At 56.0% G+C, this 20,894-nt stretch overlaps 2 protein-coding genes across 11 annotated transcripts in view, besides 5 other annotated features; one reads left to right on the forward strand and one right to left on the reverse strand.

The window, feature by feature from the left end:
* PRKCSH (PRKCSH beta subunit of glucosidase II) overlaps positions 1-4,719 on the forward strand; it is a 15,334-nt gene extending 10,615 nt beyond the window's left edge. For 3 of the 7 annotated variants that reach the window (NM_001379609.1, NM_001001329.3, NM_001289102.2), the window contains 10 exons: positions 23-101; positions 825-911; positions 1,190-1,369; positions 1,474-1,540; positions 1,973-2,042; positions 2,291-2,380; positions 2,665-2,739; positions 2,827-2,926; positions 3,017-3,179; positions 4,397-4,719. In NM_001379609.1, the coding sequence (NP_001366538.1) occupies positions 23-101; positions 825-911; positions 1,190-1,369; positions 1,474-1,540; positions 1,973-2,042; positions 2,291-2,380; positions 2,665-2,739; positions 2,827-2,926; positions 3,017-3,163 (895 nt within the window). In that variant the 3' untranslated portion in view covers positions 3,164-3,179; positions 4,397-4,719. Of the gene's footprint in view, positions 1-22; positions 102-824; positions 912-1,189; positions 1,370-1,443; positions 1,541-1,972; positions 2,043-2,290; positions 2,381-2,664; positions 2,740-2,826; positions 2,927-3,016; positions 3,180-4,396 lie in introns of all 7 variants that reach the window. The other 4 variants (NM_001289103.2, NM_001289104.2, NM_001379608.1 and 1 more) reach the window with 2 other exon arrangements.
* ELAVL3 (ELAV like RNA binding protein 3) overlaps positions 5,077-20,894 on the reverse strand; it is a 29,721-nt gene continuing 13,903 nt past the window's right edge. The window contains exons 2-7 of one of the 4 annotated variants that reach the window (XM_024451413.1): positions 20,359-20,575; positions 19,923-20,026; positions 12,209-12,362; positions 11,812-12,037; positions 10,861-10,899; positions 5,077-8,607 (exon numbers count right to left, since the gene is read on the reverse strand). In XM_024451413.1, the coding sequence (XP_024307181.1) occupies positions 8,277-8,607; positions 10,861-10,899; positions 11,812-12,037; positions 12,209-12,362; positions 19,923-20,026; positions 20,359-20,575 (1,071 nt within the window). In that variant the 3' untranslated portion in view covers positions 5,077-8,276. Of the gene's footprint in view, positions 8,629-10,860; positions 10,900-11,811; positions 12,038-12,208; positions 12,363-19,922; positions 20,027-20,358; positions 20,579-20,894 lie in introns of all 4 variants that reach the window. The other 3 variants (XM_011527778.3, NM_032281.3, NM_001420.4) reach the window with 3 other exon arrangements.
* Positions 5,863-5,912: an enhancer, noted in NCBI's record as "active region_14019". NCBI's record gives its function as "activates an Ori minimal core promoter by ATAC-STARR-seq in GM12878 lymphoblastoid cells {active_cell/tissue: GM12878}" and the evidence as "EXISTENCE:reporter gene assay evidence [ECO:0000049][PMID:35858748]".
* Positions 5,943-6,062: an enhancer, noted in NCBI's record as "active region_14020". NCBI's record gives its function as "activates an Ori minimal core promoter by ATAC-STARR-seq in GM12878 lymphoblastoid cells {active_cell/tissue: GM12878}" and the evidence as "EXISTENCE:reporter gene assay evidence [ECO:0000049][PMID:35858748]".
* Positions 5,943-6,757: a biological region, named in NCBI's record as "H3K27ac-H3K4me1 hESC enhancer GRCh37_chr19:11563051-11563821".
* Positions 5,987-6,757: an enhancer, noted in NCBI's record as "H3K27ac-H3K4me1 hESC enhancer chr19:11563051-11563821 (GRCh37/hg19 assembly coordinates)". NCBI's record gives its function as "activates a minimal SCP1, AML or CMV promoter by ChIP-STARR-seq in primed H9 embryonic stem cells {active_cell/tissue: H9 hESC(primed)}" and the evidence as "EXISTENCE:reporter gene assay evidence [ECO:0000049][PMID:30033119]".
* Positions 7,621-7,802: a silencer, noted in NCBI's record as "fragment chr19:11564685-11564866 (GRCh37/hg19 assembly coordinates)". NCBI's record gives its function as "represses an EF-1alpha promoter that drives an FKBP-Casp9 reporter gene in an ReSE screen in K562 erythroleukemia cells {active_cell/tissue: K562}" and the evidence as "EXISTENCE:reporter gene assay evidence [ECO:0000049][PMID:32094911]".

Consider the following 20,894-nt stretch of genomic DNA (forward strand, 5'->3'; position numbering starts at 1 on the left):
TGCTTCTGCCACGCCCCCGCAGGGTCTCGGTGACTGAGCTGCAGACTCACCCGGAGCTGGACACAGATGGGGATGGGGCGTTGTCAGAAGCGGAAGCTCAGGTACCCCCGGCTGCCCCTTGGTTGGGGACTTCTAGGGAGCATTGCCCCAGGGTGACCTCAGGGCACAGGAGGGGGACCAAGGAAAGCTCCTTGCTGGCCTGGGATGCCTCCTCTGGGTGAGCTGGGATGGCAGCCACTCAGGGCCGCTTCCCGCCTGGCAGGACCCGGGATGGAGCCAGGTCGCGCTGGAGCCCGTTTCCCCGCACCTGCCCCCACTCTACCCGCTGTTGAGCACCCAATCCCCTTCCTCCCCCACCCCTGTCCTGCCCTATTCCCCTCCTCCCCCACACCCTCGTCCCCTGTCTGTCTCCTTTCCTATCCTCCTCCTTCCCCGTGGCCCCTGGCTTCTGGCCTCCCTTCTCTGCCCACCCCTGGGTTTCTCCCTCTCCATCTGCAGCCTGGGCCTTGGCCTCTCCCTTGGAGGGCCTGGCCCTCTCTGGTCCTGGGCTCTCTCTTCCTCCATCTGTACGTCCGTTTGTCCATCTGCTTCTCTCTTTCTGTCTCAGTGCCCCCAACCACTCCAGCCCCTGGTCTCCTCCTCCCCTCCCACGGGCCTGTGCTGCCCCCTCCTGGCCGCAGTGCCTCACTGGCGTGGCCCTGGCCTGGTCATCAGGGCCCGGGGCCCAGCCCTCCCGTGCCTGGCACCGCAGCCCGGGTGCCGGGGTGGCCGAGATGGGGGACACGTGGTGGCCTAGATCTTGACACCACCCCCAACACACACAGGCCCTCCTCAGTGGGGACACACAGACAGACGCCACCTCTTTCTACGACCGCGTCTGGGCCGCCATCAGGGACAAGTACCGGTCCGAGGTCAGTGGAGGAGAAGGGAGGGGACTTGGTCCTCCCACCACACTGCCCCCACCCCGCCTCACAAAGGAGCTGCCTCTGGTTCTGGCACCTGGCCACCCTGGCCAGCTGGGTGGCCCCAGCACCCCCCACCGAGACCCCCCGACCCCAGCTGTCGGTCCTCCCTGCAGGCCCCGCAGGAGGGGCAGAGACACCGAGGCTGCCCCTTGGGCTGTGGTGTGAGCCTGAGGGTGTGGGTGGACCCTGAGTCCACAACACCGACCGCACTGCTCACCCGCCAGGCACTGCCCACCGACCTTCCAGCACCTTCTGCCCCTGACTTGACGGAGCCCAAGGAGGAGCAGCCGCCAGTGCCCTCGTCGCCCACAGAGGAGGAGGAGGAGGAGGAGGAGGAGGAGGAAGAAGAGGCTGAAGAAGAGGAGGAGGAGGAGGATTCCGAGGTGCAGGGGGAGCAGCCCAAGGTCCGTGTTTGGGGGAGAAGTGGAGACAGAGAGGGTGGGGGAAGGGCTACTCACTGACCCTGCCCCTGCCCCAGGAGGCCCCACCGCCACTGTCACCCCCGCAGCCGGCCAGCCCTGCTGAGGAAGACAAAATGCCGCCCTACGACGAGCAGACGCAGGCCTTCATCGATGGTGAGGGTGGGCGGGGGCCAGGCTCCTCGGGTGGGCCCAGCGTTTCCTGCCGTGGTGGCACAGGTCGAGGGAAGATCCTGAGCTTAGACCCTGCTCTGACTCGGCCAGCACAAGCCCCAGTATCTTGGGGAGTCCAGGAAGGGGGCCTAGGGTAAGCCAGTCCCACCCTCGCCAGCCCCAAGGGGCCCTTCTGCCTCCCCAAGGGCCGCAGCTTGTTTGTGTCACTCCTGGCCCCACTCGCTCAGGAGCTGGGAGCCTGGGCAGCAAGTCGGGGCTGCTCTATAGCTGGTGAGGCCCTCAAGGCTGTCGGGGTGAAGTCCTTGGCCAGAGCAAAATGAGGGTATGGGAGCACACAGCCACATCCATGGAACCCCGTTCCCCATCCTCCTGGATGGGGTTGAGGACATCTCTGACCTCCAACCCCTCTCCCAGCTGCCCAGGAGGCCCGCAACAAGTTCGAGGAGGCCGAGCGGTCGCTGAAGGACATGGAGGAGTCCATCAGGTAGCGGGGGCTGAGGAGCGGGGACACCTGTCCCACAGCGACTGCTCCTTGACTCCCAGGGGAGCTGGTGATGGGGAATCACTGAGGCAACCACAGGCTGGGCCTGGTCCCTGCAGGGAGGGTCCCTGGGAGGTGGCAGGGAGGACAGCCTGGGCACCATTGCTCAGCCAGACCCTCCTGTGTCTGTCGTCCTGGGTCAGGCACTGGCGTCCCCAGCTGCCCCTTAACCGCTCCGCCTCCCCTTCCAGGAACCTGGAGCAAGAGATTTCTTTTGACTTTGGCCCCAACGGGGAGTTTGCTTACCTGTACAGCCAGTGCTACGAGCTCACCACCAACGAGTGCGTCCCAGGAATGCAGGGGCCCCCACTGGCAGGGTGGGAGGCGGGTGGCCCCGGAAGTGGCACCGGCAGTTTCCTGATGGTTGGGGAACCATCTGCGGGTGGGGCCCGAGAGTGCTGCCTTCCATATTGAGGGGGAGCAGAAGCCAGGGGCCAGGTTTAGGGTTGGTCATTGGAGTTGGAGGTACCCTGTGTGTGGGGACTGGAGGAGGCGGTGGGGGGTGGCTGTGGGAGGAGGCTGGAATCCCTGCGTTCCCCAACCCATATGTCCCGGTCCTCCACAGATACGTCTACCGCCTCTGCCCCTTCAAGCTTGTCTCGCAGAAACCCAAACTCGGGGGCTCTCCCACCAGCCTTGGGTGAGTGGCTTGGGCTGGCCCCTTCCCTCTGCCTCCTCCTGGTGCCCCGACACCGGCCCAGCCCTCAGCACCCTGTGTCTCTCACAGCACCTGGGGCTCATGGATTGGCCCCGACCACGACAAGTTCAGTGCCATGAAGTATGAGCAAGGCACGGGCTGCTGGCAGGGCCCCAACCGCTCCACCACCGTGAGTGCCTGCAAGGCAGGGGAGCTGGGGCGGGGAGACCCAGGCCTGGCCCAGCCGAACCCTCTCGAGCACCCGTCTGCCCATCCCCAGGTGCGCCTCCTGTGCGGGAAAGAGACCATGGTGACCAGCACCACAGAGCCCAGTCGCTGCGAGTACCTCATGGAGCTGATGACGCCAGCCGCCTGCCCGGAGCCACCGCCTGAAGCACCCACCGAAGACGACCATGACGAGCTCTAGCTGGATGGGCGCAGAGGTGGGCGGGGAGGTGGAGTCTCGTCGGCCTGCCCCAGCAAGGGGAGGCGGCGGGCCCTGAGGAAGATGGACCCACATGGCCACTCTATCAACCTGTGTCCCCATGTTCCCTGCTTTTTTGTTTTGTTTTTTTGAGGTGGAGTCTCACTCTTTGGCCCAGGCTGGAGTGCAGTGATGCGACCTCAGCTGACTGCAACCTCTACCTCCCGGGTTCAAACAATTGTCTTGTCTCAGCCTCCCAAGTAGCTGGGATTACAGGTGTGCACCACCATGCCTGGCTAATTTTTAGTAGAGATGGGGTTTCACCATGTTGGCCTGGATGGTCTCGAACTCCTGACCTCAGATGATCCACCTGCCTTGGCCTCCCAAAGTGCTGGGATTACAGGCATGAGCCACCACACCCGGCCATCTCCTGCCTTTTTTTTTTTGGATGGAGTTTCACTCTTGTTGCCGAGGCTGGAATGTGGAATGCAATGGCGCGATCTCGGCTCACTGCAACCTCCACCTCCTGGGTGCAAGCAATTCTCCTGCCTCAGCCTCCTGAGTAATTGGGACTACAGGCGCCGCCACCACGCCTGGCTAATTTTTTTGTATTTTTAGTAGAGATGGGGTTTCCCTGTGTTAACCAGGTTGGTCTCGATCTCCTGACCTCGTGATCCGCCCTCCTCAGCCTCCCAAAGTGCTGGGATTACAGGCTTGAGCTACCATGTCTGGCCATCCCCTGCTTTTTAAAAAAAGATTTTTTTACTTTTGAAACTAAATAGGCCAGGCGTCGTGGCTCACATCTGTAATCCCAGCACTTTGGGAGGCTGAGGTGGGCGGATCACTTGAGGTCAGGAGGTTGAGACCAGCCTGACCAACATGGTGTAAAACCCCATCTCTACTAAAAATACAAAAAAATTAGCTGGGTGTGGTGGTAGGTGCCTGTAGTTCCAGCTGCTCAAGAGGCTGAAGCACAAGAATCACTTGAACCCAGGAGGTAGAGGTTGGAGTGAGCCAAGATCATGCTACTGCACTCTCCAGCCTGGGCTACAGAGTGAGACTCTCAAAAAAAAAAAATAATAATAATAAGAGAAAATAGACAAGGTCTCCAGGCTGGTCAACTCCTGGCCTCAAATGATCCTCCCACCTCAGCCTCCCAAGCAGCCGGGACTACAGGCAAACATCACCATGTCCAGCTGTCCCCAGCTTTCTAATCTGGTCTTTCTCTTGCCCCAGAACCTCAAGAAGGCATGAAGCCAGCCCCTGCAGTGCCGTCCACCCGCCCCTCTGGGCCTGCCTGTGGCTCTGTTGCCCTCCTCTGTGGCGGCAGGACCTTTGTGGGGCTTCGTGCCCTGCTCTGGGGCCCAGGCGGGGCTGGTCCACATTCCCAGGCCCCAACAGCCTTCAAAGATGGGTAAAGGAGCTTGCCCTCCCTGGGCCCCCCACCTTGGTGACTCGCCCCACCACCCCCAGCCCTGTCCCTGCCACCCCTCCTAGTGGGGACTAGTGAATGACTTGACCTGTGACCTCAATACAATAAATGTGATCCCCCACCCAAACTTGTCTGTGTCTGCCTCGCTTTGCTGGGGTGTGGACCGGGGTGTGGGCAGGGGTTGAGCGCAGGGGACGCAGCTTTCTGCAGATCCCACCCGGGCCTCCCCCACCATCTGGGGATCACTCCTGAAGATACCAGGTGGATGGACCCTGGACCATTTCTGTCTTGAGCATCCATCCGGGCCCGTGTCCCACCTTCCCTGGGTCTCATCTGTGCTCTGTGGAGGCCAAGGGTTCCCTCCCGGGGCCAAAGCCCCTGCTGCAGACAGACCCAGGCCCAGAGAAGGACGGGGGCCTGGGCGCTACTACACAGGCTGCTCCTGCGTGCTCCCCGCGCAGCGGTGCAGAGATCACCCAAGGCCTTAAGATTCTGAACTTTTATTTTCTGGCATGAAAAGTACAAATAATTAAACAATTCCATGTAAAAGTCTGTTACCGCGGCCAGGCCTGTGATCCCGGTAATAAATAGTCTAAACGCAACGCGAAGTGTTCTTGTTGGGTTTTTTTTTTTTTTTTGTCTTTTGTTTTGTCTTTTTTTTTTTTTTTTTTTTTACAGTTTTTTATCACCTCCAACATGGACTCTGTCGTGATTTGAAACCTTCCGAATAAATAACAGGATGAAGGGAGGGGTGGAGGGGCTGAGCCCCCTCCCCCCTGGCCTGGCCCCTGCCCCCCAGGGACGTGGAAGCCCCAAGTCCCCCTCGCCTGGGAGCCCCGGCCTGGCCCCCTGCGGGGAGGGGCTGGCCTCCAGGGAGGGGGCCTGGCTGGGCTGAGTTTTGTGTTTTAGAAAAAGAAGTCCCCTCCCAGTCTTGGGGGTGGCAGGGGCCTAGGCCTCGGTGGGGGGGGGGTGTGTGGGGAGGTGCCCCCTCTCTGGAGCCTGGCCCCCCCCAGGGTGGGGGACAAACCCAGCCCTTATTGCTCGGACGCCCTGCTGCAAGCTTCCCACGCGGACGTGCGTGTTCCCGAATGCAGAGGGCGGAGGGGAGAGAGCCCCAAGAGACAGCAGGGGAGAGGGGTCCCTGCCCTGCTGCAGGGGAGAGGAGAGAGGGCAGGGAGGACTTAAAACCACGAGAATAAATAGGTTCGTGTATCAAGAACAAGCTAGGGATTTCACCAGCTAAATAGGACTGAAAAAATTCTCAAGACAAGAGCAAAAAGAATCCCATTGGTGACCTGGACGTCGCTGGCCGTGGGGACTGTCCCGCAGAGCACACGCCCCCGCGTGCCACTCGGCTACCATTACTGTTATTAATAATTATTATTACTTTAATGATTCCACTTCCCCTTTTATAAATAAATTAGGCATAACCATGTCTCGGCAAAACTTAAAGAAACAAAGAGAACATTGTCGTTCCTTTAACTTGCAAACCGGATGAAGTAACAGAAATATACACGGATGTCCTTACAGGGCAACGAGGAGAATAAATAGTTAACATAGCAATAAGTTAAAACTACAAGAAGCTAAATTCAGCAAAAAAGTACAAGAAAGTTAACTGGTGCCAGTTTATGTCTTTTTTTTTTTTCCTTTTTTTTTTTTAAATCTCTTCTGTGTGTTTTCTTTTTTTGTTGCTTTTTTTTCCTCTTCTGTTTGTGTTTTTTTGTCGCTTTTTTGATTTTTTTCTTTTTTGTTCCTTGCAGCAGAAGCTCCACAGACGTTTAATAACAACACCGGGAGGGGTGGGGGAGAGAGAGCTGGACAGTCAGATGGGGGCGCCATAGCCAGACACCAAACGTGGGGACACCGGGGGAAGGCAACTTAACTATAGCTAAAGTCGGGGGTTTTGCAATTCTCAGTTCCGATGGGGCCGCTGAGTGGGGTGGGGAGCGGTGCGAGGGCTCCCAGGGGCTCCGGCCTGTGGCTTCTGTTGGAATTTTTTTTTTTTAAAGAAAGAAAACTAGGGCGATGCAATGTCCAGACAGAAGCCGGGGGCCGGGGCTCGAGATCGGGGGCTGTGTCCACTGCAATCTGGAAAGACGAAAAACCCAACAAACCGAAAGGGGATAGGTAGGTGACAAGTGGACGGGAAAGGAGTGTGGGGCTGGGCCTTTGGGCCCATCCACCCCACCCTGGGCCTGGCGGGGAGTGCCGGGGTCTTGCTGCCGGGGAGGCCCAGTCCTGGTGGGGGAGGCTCAGGGCTGGGCCTCTCCCTCAGCTGTGTGGGCCAAGGCCTCGGCCCAGGGGGAGGCTGAGCCCCGGGGACAGGGGTGTCCTTTGGCCTCAAGTGTTGTGGGGGGGGGGGCTGCCTCCAGCCCACCGTGACGCCAAGGTGGAACGAGGTATCGTGTGTCTCAATGCATGTGCGCTGCGTGTGCACGCCTGTGTTCGTGGGCGCCAAGGAGACCGCTGGGGGTCCAGGAGAGATCTCTGCAGAGAACCTGGGGGCCAGGGCGAGGGGGCCGAGAGGGTGAGGGAGCGTCTGGGGCAGGGTCTGGGGTGGGACCTCCTGCCTGGGCCTGTGGGATGCTATGGGCATATGTCTGCGTGTTCCTGGGTGGTGTTTGTGTTTCTCCGTGACCTGGTGTCCAAATTTGATGTCCAAATATCTATCGCTACATTCACGTGTGCACGTGGACAGGTGGATGGATTCGTGTGCCCACATCTGTGGTCTGTGTCCACATGGACGTAGCCCCAGCTTCTGTCTCTTTCTGTCTATCCCTGTCCACGTGTCTGAGTTTGGCCAACCAGTCCCTTAACGTGTCTGGGGCATGTCGCTGTGTCCGTCTGCGTCTGTCCGTGTGTCCCCGTGGTGTGACTGTCTGCGTGGTTGTTTCTCTGTGTGGCCCCGTGGGCTGCTAGCCCCTAAGCCCTGCTCCCTGGGCCCCCCCCACCCCCGCCCCAGTTGGTAAACATAACCTGCCAAAATATTTTCTTTTTTTTTTTTTGTCTTTTTTTGTGTTTTTTTTTTTCAAGTTCAAGAATCCCCAGTAAAAATTCTCCACGAGGTCTTTTTCCCTTTTTACAAAAATAGAGTTTTTCTTCCCCTCCCACCCCCCTTTTTTTTTCATTTTGTTTCTGCTTCCAGCCCCACTGCCTGCTCCCCCGCATTCCACCAGGGGGCACTGGGCCGGGGGTGCCCACACCCCTCCTCACGGTTCGCTTTTTTGGGGATTTTTAAACCTGTTCCTCCTACCCCAGGCCCCACCTAGGTGCTGGGGAGGCCTGGGCAAGGGGGTCTGGGAGGGCACCCCCTGGAGCCCCCCAAGCCATCCCATCGGGGGTGGTCGAGGGTGGGGGTGGGGGCACATCTCTGCATTCTTTTTAGCCGAAAAAAGAAACAAAAACCTTCACCATGAACCAAACCAAGACGAGAGAGTGAACAGCCCAGCCTGGGGTGGGGGCAGGAGGATGGGGCGGGGGATCCCCGGGCACCCCCCCAATTCCCTGCAGACCCTCCCACCCCAGAGTGCTCACCCTGTGGCTTCCGCAGGGACGTGGGGCCCTCGCGTCGTCCGTGGGGCTGCCTGTGCTGTCTCTCTTGGGCCCCTTCTCTCTCTCTCTCTCTCTTTCTCTCTCTCTCTCTCTGCTGCCCGGGGAGGGGGTGGGAGGGCAGGCGGGGTGGGCTCACGCCTTGTGCTGTTTGCTGGTCTTGAAGGAGACCTGCAGCACGCGCTCGCCCAGGCGATAGCCGTTCAGGCTGGCGATGGCCATGGCCGCCTCGTCATAGTTGGTCATGGTCACGAAGCCGAAACCCTTGCACTTGTTGGTGGTGAAATCACGGATGACCTTGACGTTGGTGACTGCCCCAAAAGGCCCGAACAGCTGCCACAGCACGCTCTCGTCTGCCTCCGGTGACAGGTTGTACACGAAGATGCACCAGCCGGCGCCCGCCGCGCCCCCCGACAGGCCCACGCCCGCCAGGCCGCTCATACCATCGATGGCGATCGGCGAGAACCTGGCGATGAGCGACAGGGGACTACTTTGGGGGTCACGCGGGCTCTGCCCTGACCCCCCGCATGCTTCTGACCCCGTTGTGACCCTTCACACCTTTATGACCCCTGACTGTGCCATGACCTTGGAATGGTGTGACCCCTGCAATGCAATTTTTTTTTTTAGAGACACGGTCTCGCTCTGTCACCCAGGCTGGAGTGCAGTGGTGCAATCATGGCTCACTGCAGCTTTGACCTCCTGGGCTCAAGCAAACCTCCCGCCTCAGCCTCCTGAGCAGCTGGGACTGTAGGCAGGCGCCCTCACACCCAGCTAATTTTTTTTATGATTTGTGGTGACACAGTCTCACTATGTTGCTTAGGCTGGTCTCGAACTCTCAGGCTCAAGCAATCCTCCTGCCTTGGCTTCCCAAGTAGCTGGGACTACAGGTGCACCACTATGCCCCACTAATTTTTTTTTTTTTTTTTCTGAGACGGGGTCTTGCTCTGTTGCCCAGGCTGGAGTGCAGTGGGATGATCTCAGCTCACTGCAACCTCTGCCTCCTAGGTTCAAGCGATTGTCCTGCCTCAGCCTCCCGAGTAGCACCTGCCACCACGCCCAGCTAATTTTGTATTTTTAATAGAGATGGGGTTTCTCCATGTTGATCAGGCTGGTCTCGAACTCCCGACCTCAGGTGATCCGCCCGCTTCGACCTCCCAAAGTGCTGGGATTACAGGCATGAGCCACCGCACCCAGCCATGCCCCGCTAATTTTTAAAAATTTTTGTAGAGGTGGGGTCTCGCTGCGTTAGCCAGGCTGGTCTCGAACTCCTGGGCTCAAGCAATCCTACCACCTTGGAGTTCCAAAGTGCTGAAATTACAGGTGTGAGCCACTGCACCCGGCTTTCCTTTTCAAATCATATATTTATTATCATCAACTTCATCTTCCCTGCAAGAGTTTGTTCCAGCCCCTGAACAACACCTAGTAAGCACTTGGGAGGTGTCTGTTGAATGAATTAATGAAAGGACAGAATTGGCTCCACTCACATTCCTCACTGGCAATCCCGCCCTTGGATTAAACCCCTCAGCTGGGAAGGGAGGACCCAAGGGCCTGAACCATTCAATCCTGACCACGAGGAACAAACTACTCGCTCCTTCTGGCCCTCTTTGCACAGGCTTTTCCCACTGCTAGGAACTCCCTTTCCACTCTGCCTTTGTGTGGATGTTGCCTCAGATGGGACTGGGGGGTCTCTGCTGCTGGGTCTCCGTCACCCCTTCTTTTTTTTTTTTCTTTTTGAGACGGAATCTCACTCTGTCGCCCAGGCTGGAGTGCAGTGGCACGATCTCAGCTCACTGCAACCTCCGCCTCCTGGGTTCAAGCAGTTCTCTGCCTCAGCCTCCCGAGTAGCTGGGATTACAGGCGCCTGCCACCGTGCCCAGCTAAATTTTTGTATTTTTAGTAGAGATGGGGTTTCACCATCTTGGCCAGGCTGGTCTTGGACTCCTGACCTCGTGATCCGCCTGCCTCGGCTTCCCAAAGTGCTGGGATTACAGGCGTGAGCCACCGCGCCCGGCCTCTGTTACCCCTTCTACTTCACAGCTTTCATCACCATTCATTTCTCTGTCTCCTCCCCCACTAGACTCAGACTGAGATCTTCTTTTACATTTTTTAATTATTTTTTTTTTTTTGAGATGGAGTTTCGCTCTTGTTGCCCAGGCTGGAGTGCAGTGGCACGATTTCAGCTCACTGCAACCTCCTCCTTCCATGTTCAAGCGATTCTCCTGCTTCAGCCTCCTGAGTAGCTGGGATTACAGGCATGAGACACCGCGCCCAGCCACATTTTTTAATTTTTGGAGATAAGGTCTCGCTCTGTCACCCAGGCTGGAGTGCAGTGGCACCATCATAGTTCACTGCAGCCTCCAACTCCTAGGCTCAAGCGATCCTCCCGCCTCAGCCTCCTGAGTAGCCTGAACTACAGGCATGCACCACCGTATCAGGCTAATCCTTAAAAAAAAATTGTAGAGAAGGATCTCACTATGTTGCCCAGGCTGATCTTGAACTCCTGGCCTCAAGTGCTCCTTGCCCCTCAGCCTCCCGAAACACTGGGAGCACAGGCGAGAACCACCACGTCTGGCTTTGATGTCACATCTCTCAATGGCCATGCTACTCCAAGACCCAGGCAAACAAGGCTAAGCCTGCAGCCCTGGGGGTGAGCTGGGGAGGGGTGCATCAGGGGCATGGATGGTGAGGGGTGGGGACAGTGGGGCGGGGTCACTGTTACCTCTTGACGCCGTAGGCCATGTTGAGCAAATTGTCCAGCCTGTGGAGGCAGAGGTGGTGGTCAGAGGTGGCTTCCAGTCACGCCCCCCTGCTGTGACACCGTCGGCCTGCCCTCCCCACCCCCACCCAACAGGCCTGCAGCAGAGCCCTGCCCCCGCCTGCCTGCTCCCCGCCCGCCCGGCTAGACACTGCCTGGCACGGAACCGTGGTCACTCAGGCACCGCCTCTCGCCTGCCCCACCGCTGTCCAGCCTGCACTGGCCTCCTCATCCATCCTCCCCCTCCTGGCTGGCGGGTCCCCTCTGGGCCCAGGCGCTGGGATCCCTGGGGAAAGATAACTCCTAACAAAGGCGACAGTAACTACCACAGCCAACATTCTCGCAGCACTTGAGGGGGTGGGTAACTTGCCCCGGCCACCCGGGGGCCCACAAGGGGCTTCCATTGTCTCCCCTTGGAGTGGCTATGAGCTTGGACTCCAGGTCCTGGGTTTGAGTCTCTGCTCTGTTTGGGCCAGGCAAACCCCAACACCTCTCTGTGCCTCAGGGTCCCCGTCCATAAAACAGGGACAACACAAGCTCTGTTCTCATCGGGTTGCAGAAAAATAAGGGTGTCTAGCACACAGCAAAGACTCATGAAATATTTGGTGTTATTACAGATGGGAAACTGAGGCACAGAGCTACAGCCACGTGCCCAAAAGAGAAAGGGGCCACCAGAGCTGGAACCCAGATGACGCCAAAATCTTTTAACACCAAGAATGCCAATCGTCGCGGCCAGCACACATTGAGGGCCTGCTGTATATGAGTGGCTGGCCTTGGCACCTGACAGATAGGCTCCTTGGCTCCCATGTGTGCGCACCCTCCCGGCATCCCTCCCTTCGGCAGGAATGGGGTTCAGGGAGGGTTGCAAGCTTGGGGGCACCCGGCCTGGGGCCATCTGGCTGGCAGGGGGCTCACCGGAAACGCTGGGTCTGATGGTGTAGGGGGCCTGCGTAGCGCCGGGCGGATGACTGGTAGAGGTGGGTGAGCAGCGCCTGCCCCGTCTTCTGACTTGGGTTGTTCGCGAACTTGACTGTGATGGGCTCAGCTGCGCCCAGCGGCTTCTGCCCATTCAGTCCTTTGATAGCCTCTTCGGCCTCAATCCTCTTGTCAAAGCGGATGAATCCCACACCCCGAGAGACACCTGCCAGGGGGCAGGGATGTCCATCACGACGACCCTGTCCCCTCCTGTGTAACCCCACTTCTCCCTTCCCTGCTTCATGCCCTGGCATCTTGGTCGGTTTCCCCACGTTGGTCCCACCTGACTGCCTTTGCCCAGCGCCCCCGCCAGGTGCACCCTCCCTGACTGCCTGACCTGTGACCTGGTCCACCAGGATGCGGGACGTGATGATGCGGCCGTACTGGGAGAAGAGCTGCTCCATCTCTTTCTGGCTCATGGTCTTGGGGAGCCCGCTGACGTACAGGTTAGCATCCCGGATGGATGCTGAACTGGGTCTGGCATAGGACACCTGGGTGAGGGGGTCAGATGGACAGGGGTGAGGCAGAGACCCATTTCACAGATGGAGAGAGTGAGGCCATGTCTAAACCATCACGGAGTTAGCAGAAGTGACCCATCCGTCACTCAATAAGTATCTCTAGAGTTGTCACCGTGGGGTGGGGCTGAGTCAGATATGGGAGAGGGGACATGGCAGTGGCTGTAACAACTTGGACTGCCTGTATAGAGTGATGGGGACCTGCCACCTAGGGAGGACATGTCTCCCTGGGGTGACATGTGACCCCAAAGGGATCCTTGAATAGCCGGCTCACATCACTATCACATGCTTGACAGTCCATCAACAAACATTGACCTTTTTTTTTTTTTAAAGACAGGATCTCACTTTTTTACCCAGGCTGGAATGCAATGGTGTGATCTCAGCTCACTACAGCCTCGACCTCTTGGGCTCAAGCAATCCTACCGCCTAAGCCCCGCAAGTAGCTGAGACTACAGGCGCCCACCACCACGCCTGACCAGCATTTTTTTTTTCTTTTTTTTTTTTTTGAGATGGAGTGTTGCTCTGTCGCCAGGCTGGAGTGCAATGGCGACATCTCGGCTCATTGCAACCTCTGCTTACCGGGTTCAAGCAATTCTCCTGCCTCAGCCTCCTGACTAGCTGGGATTACAGGCGCCCACCACCACGCCTAGCTAATTTTTTTTTTATTTTTTTGTATTTTTAGTAGAGACGGGTTTCACCATGTTGGCCAGGATGGTCTTGACCTCTTGACCTTGTGATCCGCTCATCTCGGCCTCCCAAAGTGCTGGGATTACAGGCGTGAGCCACCGCGCCTTACCTAATTTTTATAATTTTAGCAGAGACAGGGTTTCATCATGTTGGTCAGGCTGGTCTCGAGCTCCTGATCTCATGATCCGCCCGCCTCCGCCTCCCAAAGTGCTGGGATTACAGGTGTGAGCCACCTCCCCCGGCCTCAGCTAATCTTTAAATTTTTTTTTTTGTAGAAACAGGATCTCACTGTGTTACCTAGGCTGGTATTGAACTTCTGGCCTCAAGCAGTTCTCCCATCTCGGCCTCCCAAAATACTGGGATTATAGGTGTGAGCCACCATGCCTGGCCTATTTTTATTTTATTGAAAGACGGAGTCTTGCTGTGTTGCCCAGGCTAAATGCAGTTATTATTCACAGGTGCAATCATACTGCACTGCAGCCTCCAACTCCTGGACTCAAGCCATCCTCCCACCTCAGCCTCCCAAGTAGCTGGGACTACAGGCATGCACCACCACACCCAGCCACTCTTCCCACTCCTATAGAGAGTGGACCTAAGACACTGGCCCCTTCTCTTCCCAGCTACACTGGGCCCCCCAGGGACACTCAGGTCTTTAGTCATCAGCTCCCAAATGTCCCCAGTCTGCACCCCTGGTGGCAACTGCATCCAGGTGCCCCACATGGGGGTGTCAAGGGCACTTCATACACAGCACGGGTGCCTCCTGCTCCCGCCCGCCTCCAATCTGCCCCAACTCACTAATGGCAACTCTGTCCTCCTAAGTGCTCATGTCCCCAGGTTCAGGTTGTTCTCGACACCTGTTCTTCACATGCACATCCAACCCACTCTAAATCCTGTAGGCTCTACCTTCCTCCTTATCCAGAATCCACACACTTCACCCCACTGCCACTGTCCCACCCTGGCCCAGCCTTCACTACTGATCACCTGGACCAGTGCAGCAGCCTCCACCCTGGCCCCCCCTGCTCCCATCCCCCACTGTCTGTCCCCCCTACGGCAGCCAGAGGGCGCCTGTGAACACCTGAGCCAGGTCGCATCCCCCCTCTGCTCAGAACCCTCTATGGCTCCCACCTTCCTCAGCAGAAAAGCCAAAGTCCTTTCCTTGGACCGCAAAACCCTGCACATTCTTCCCCATGACATCCTTGCCCTCATCTCCCCCTACTTCCTGCCCCAATTACTGTGTTCCAGCAACTTGAACTTCCCCCATTTTTCCCAAACACACCAGGCATGTCTCAGCCTCAGGGCCCTGGCATTGCCTGTTCTCTCTGCCTGGAATGCTCTTCCTCCTCTTCTTTCTTTGGGTCTCAGTTGAAACATCCTCCCTGTCCTCTCTCATCTAAATTTGTCCTCCCCCCACCACCCCTATTACTCTTTCTCAAAGCACTTCTCCTAACTAGGAATTAGACACATTTTAGCACTGTTATCTGAATCACATTATTAATTATAGTCCAACCCAACAACGAAACTCTCTGCAGGTGTTTAAAAAAATGGTGGGTCAGGTGCAGTGGCTCATGGCTGTAATCCCAGTGCTCTGGAAGTTCAAGGCAGGAGGATCAAGGGAGCCCAGGAGTTTGAGACCAGCCTGGACAATACAGCAAGACTCACCCCCGTCCTCCACCGCCACAACCTCTACAAAAAAAAAAAAAAAAAAAATTAGCTGGGTGTGGTGGTGCACACCTGTGGTCCCAGCTACTCGGGAGACTGAGGCTGGAGGATCACTTGAACCCAGGAGTTAAAGGCTGCAGTGAGCTATGATCACACCACTGCACTCCAGCCTGGGCTACAGAGCAAGACCCTGTCTCTAAAAAAAAAAAGAGAAAAAGATGGACATATATATTTATTTCCCAGAAACGGTGGTGACTGGTGAGTATTGTAAAATGGGGGACAGAAAAGTCTATTTACAAAGCAGGGAATATTGTGTGACCTTGTTTCATTGTGTGTTTATCAATGTCCTGGAAGCATGGTAGGGAAGTCCACCTCTCAAATGCTCAGTGGGTGACCTGTCACCAGGGACTGGGGAAGAGGCTGGGGCGTGGTCATCAGCAATTCTCCCCCTTATGTCTGCTGTATCTATTTTTCCTCCCTCCCTCCCTCCCTCCCTCCCTTCCTTCCTTCCTTCATTCCTTCCTTCTTTCCTTCCACTCTCCCTCCCTCCCTCTTTCCTCCCTCCCTCCTTCCCTTCCTTCCTTTCCTCTTTCTTTTTCTTGTTAAGTGAGGTTTTTGTTTGTGGGTTTGTTTTGAGATGGGGTCTTGCTGTGTTGCCCAGGCTGGAGTACAGTGATGCAATCATGGTTCACCACAGCCTTGACCCCCCCGGGCTCCAGCAATCCTCCCACCCTCGGCCTCCCAAAGTGCTGGGACTACAGGTGTGAGCCTTTGTGCCCAGCCTCTATTTTCTGTTTCTTCTAATTAACCTCTTGATAGATAGGGGTCATTGTCTTCTGGCTTTTGTTTGGGACAGTGAGTTGAGACAGTGAGTTGTGAGAGTGTATGCCTCCATTAGAAATAACTAATTAAAGCTGGGCGCGGTGGCGCACGCCTGTAATCCCAGCATTTTGCGAGGCTGAGGCAGGCGGATCACAAGGTCAGGAGATCAAGACCATCCTAGCTAACATGGTGAAACCCCATCTCTACTAAAAATACAAAAAATTAGCCAGGCGTGGTGGCGGGTGCCTGTAATCCCAGCTACTCGGGAGGCTGAGGCAGGAGAATGGCGTAAACCCAGGAGGCGGAGCTTGCAGTGAGCCGAGATCGCGCCACTGCACTCCAGCCTGGGCAACAGAGCGAGACTCCGTCTCAAAAAAAAAAAAAAAAAAGAAATAACTAGTTTAAAAATGAACAAAATAGATAAAGCAGTTTGAGAGTGAATGGGGGGCAGGGTCTGATTAATATAATTTTGTGCACCTGGGGTTCTCCAGAAAAAAAAATCACATCAGCCATTGTCATGTCCATAATAATGATTTTTAAAATCACAGCCAGGCCAGGCACGGTGGCTCACGCCTGTAATCCCAGCACTTTGGGAGGCCGAGGTGGGCAGATCACTTGAGGTCAGGAGTAGGAGACCACCCTGGCCAACATGGTGAAACCCCGTCTCTACTAAAAATGCAAAAATTAGCCGGGCGTGGTGGCGGGCGCCTGTAATCCCAGCTACTCAGGAGGCTGAGGCAGGAGAATCACTTGAACCTGAGAGGCGGAATTGCAGTGAGCCGAGAGCGCACCACTGTAATCCGGCCTGGGTAACAGAGCAAGATTCCATCTCAGAAAAATAAATAAATTAATTAAGAAATAAATCATGTCCATGCTGGGCACGGTGGCTCACGCCTGTAATCCCAGCACTTTGGGAGGCTTGAGGGGGGTGGATGATCTGAGGTTGGGAGTTCGAGACCAGCCTGACCAACATGCTGAAACCCCGTCTCTACTAAAAAAAATACAAAGATTAGCCGTGCATGGTGGCTGGCGCCTGTAGTCCCAGCTACACGGGAGGCTGAGGCAGGAGAATTGCTTGAACCTGGGAGGCAGAGGTTGCAGTGAGCCGAGATCGCGCTACTGCATTCCAGCCTGGGTGACAGAGTGAGACTCCGTCTCAAAAAAAAAAAAAAAAAAGAAAGAAAGAAATCATGTCAATGTATTTGACAGTTTTCTCTTCTTTTTTTCTCTCCCATGGGGCTAGGAGCTGTGAGGGTACTTGCTGATGAATCAGATTTGGGTTGAGGGATTAGATTTGGGGGTAAGATCCTGGGTGGATATTGGAGGTCCAACACCGTCTGAGACACAGAGGAGGTTTTCACAGGCCTTTTCCATCCCTCCATGACATGGGTTTCCCAAGGGCAAGGATGGACCAAACTCCACCCACACCCCACCCTGGGATGGGGCCTGGCCCGCGGCAGGCAGCTGGAGATATTTTGGGCAGCTGCCATAGCGCCCAGTCCTGACTGACCGCGCAACACCGTCACACAGGCAAAAACACCCAGGGACAGACAGAAGGCCATGCAGTGCCGCCCCGCTGCACAGCCTCAGAGATGAAACCAGCCAGAGGGTGACACAGGCCACTGTCACATTCTCAGCAACGTTCAGGAGGGAGTCTCAGAGAATTACAGTGAAGGTCGTAGAACCACATACCCATCACAGCGCAGCACAAACACACGATATCACACTCAATCCCTCAGAGCAGGGCACAGGTAGACACACCCACACAACATCGCGGTGACACACAAACATCCTGCCAGAGCCAGACGCATCCCTGAGGCCCCATCAGGTCACAGCCGGAGTCACAGTGTCACATGCACCTGTCAAATAATAAGCACGTCATCCTGGGCCGGGTGCGGTGGCTCACACTTGTAATCCCAGCACTTTGGGAGGCTGAGGTGGGTGGATCACGAGGTCAGGAGTTCAAGACCATCCTGACCAACATGGAGAAACCCTGTCTTTACTAAAAATACAAAATTAGCCAGGTGTGGTGGCGGGTGCCTGTAATCCCAGCTACTCGGGAGGCTGAGGCAGGAGAATCGCTTGAGCCTGGGAGGCGGAGGTTGCAGTGGGCCGAGATCGCGCCATTGCAATCCAGCCTGGGCAAGAGAGGGAGACTCTGTCTCAAAAAAAACCCCAAAAAATCAAAAAACCAAAAAAAAAAAACCTTATCCTACAGACACATAGGGATATACCCGAAGTCTTAAATACACAGATGCACTTGACAGCAGCCTCTCTCTCCCTCCCTCTCTCTCCCTCTCTCTCTCTCTGTCTCTCTCTGTCTCTCTCTCTCTCTCTCTCTCTCTCTCTATATATATATATATATTTTTTTTTTTTTTAGACAGGGTCTTGCTCTGTTGCCGAGGCTGGAGTGCAGTGGTGAAACATGACTCACTGTAGCCTCGCCGCCTCAGCTTAAGTGATCCTCCCCACTCAGCCTCCCAAGTAGTTGGGACTACAGGTGCAAGATGCCACGCCCAGCTAATTTAAATTTTTTTTTTTTAGGAACAGGGTTTTGTCACGTTGCCCAGGTTGGTCTCAAACTCTCGGGCTCAAGTGATCCTCCTGCCTCGGCCTCCCAAAGTGCTGGGATTATAGGCGTGGGCCACTGTGCCTGGCCACAGCCACTCGCACACTGTGTCCCACAACCATTGTGTCACAGCCAGAGCCACAGTGAGTCACGGGACACCTGGATCATAAACACTGTATCTCACAACTCAAGATGACACACACACACCCCACACACACATACACACACACATACACCACACACACCACACACACACCACACACACCACACATACACATACATGACACACACATACACACATCACACACACACCCCCCACACACATACACCACACACACCACACACACACACATCACACACACACCACACACATACACCACACACACATCACACACACCACACACATACACCACACACACCACACACACACCACACACACATGCACCACACACACCACACACAAACCAGACACACACATACACAACACACACACCACACACACATACACACATACACACACCACACACACCACAAACACACACCACACACACACCACACATATACACACACCACACACACCACACACACGCACCAGACACACACATACACCACACACACACCACACACCACACACACATACATACACATACACACACCACACACACACCACACACATACACACATACACACATCCCACACACCCCACACAGACACACACACACCACACACACATACACATACACCACACACATACACACCACACACATACACATACACACCACACACATACACATACCACACACACATACACGTAATACACCTACACGCCACACACATACACACACACCACACACATACACACCGCACACCACACACATACACACCGCACACATACACCACACACATACACACACACACACCACACACACACACACCACACACATACACACATGCACACACACCACACACACATGCGTACACACACACATGCGTACACATATACATACACACATACACACACACATACACGCTGCATCTCAATGTCACTGGGGTCTGGGGTCCTCATGCCCTGAGGCTTCTGGGTCTCGTTGGCCATGAAGGGACCCATTGGGTCACAACTTCACTCCCCCACCCCAATCCCCAACCCCCCACATCAGGAAAGGGAAGAGATTCCTGCACCTCTGTTCCCATGTTGAACTGGGGGCCAGATGGGCCACCCCCCCGACCCTGGCTTCCTCCAGGGTCCGGGAGCAGATTTGCAGGGCGGAGCCCAAACACCCCCAGGCGAACCCAGAGAGGGGGGTTTCCATGACGATTCCCCCCCAGGGAACCTGGGCTTGTAGGGTCCCAGCTGCAGCTGCTGAGAAGGGAGGTCCTGGGGGAGGGGCGTTGCACAAAGATGGGGGATGGGCCGCCCCAATCCCGCCCTCCCAGACCCTAATTAGGCTCCAGATGGCAGATGGGCCCCCACCCCCATTTCCATGACAAAAGCAGGGAGGGGACTGCTCACAGGACCCTGGTCACTCTGCCTTACAGGGCCTGGCTGACTCCCTGAGCCTCCAGAGATCGTGGAGCCAGTACTGTCCCCATTGACAGGTGAGGAAACTGAGGTTTAGAGAGGGAAAGCCATTGCCCCCACCCCAGCTAGGAAGTCTTGGAGGGGAGATTTGAGCCCCTCTGGGGATGAGTCCTGAAAGGCAGTGGACATGGATGCATGGGGGCGGGTAGGTGGCAGTAGGGGGTTGGGGACAGTCAGTTGGGGTGGGCGGTCATGGGGGATTGGAGAAGGAGGCACCAACCTTGATGGTCTTCGTCTGTAATTTGAGGCCGTTGAGGGTGTTGATGGCTTTGTCTGCATCATTGGGGTCAGAATAGTTCACAAACCCGTAGCCAAGGCTCTGCCCTGTGGGCAGAACCAGAATGATGACCTTCCCACCCAGCCTTGACACCTGCCAGTGTCCCACCTCAGGCCTGAGAGACTGTCCCCTCCCCACCAAGTTTCCACCTTCCTGTTTCCAGATGACACCTTCGATGCTAGAGTCCCACCTGCCTCCATCGCTCCTGAGACCTTCACCTAGGGGGTATACCCATCTCCCCATCAGACCTCACATCCCTAGACCACCTCCTGCCTCGATTACCCCCGAGACACCTCAGCAAGGGTCCCACCTGCCCCCATCACCTCTGTATTTCTGAGGCTACCACCTCTGTTCCTCCCCGCAACTCCAGCAGCCACACCTGTGATCTTGTCCCGAACCAACTTGCAGGACTCGATGTCGCCAATGCTGCCGAAGAGACTCTTGAACTCATCCTGGGTCATGTTCTGGGGCAGGTAGTTGACGATGAGGTTGGTCTTGCTGTCGTCAGTGGCTCCATTTGTACCAAGGAGTGGCCCGTTGGGCAGGGCCGGGCCGGCCGGGCCCCCCCCCACCTGAGACTCCATGGCCCCCAGTATCTGCTGGAGATAACAGGTCGCATCCGCTCACCGCCCAGTCCCCACACCAGGGGCCTGCGGCAATGAGTGGCTTGGTGGTGATGAATTAGCCATGTCTTATAGGGGCTTCGTCATGGGGAGGGGTCACTTTATTATTCTAATGATGGGAATAATGATGGGATTCCATATATTGGAATAAGCATTGGGGGGAAACAAAGCACCTGATGTTTTTACTGCAAGAAATCCCTTATATGACTACTATATACGCAAACAGAGGCCTAAAATCAACCTGTGCATTTACAAAATAAAAAACGCTTTCACACCGGAAACGCTTTCACGT

This window comes from Homo sapiens, chromosome 19 (genome assembly GCF_000001405.40).
Source record: "Homo sapiens chromosome 19, GRCh38.p14 Primary Assembly".
NCBI lineage: Eukaryota > Metazoa > Chordata > Mammalia > Primates > Hominidae > Homo > Homo sapiens.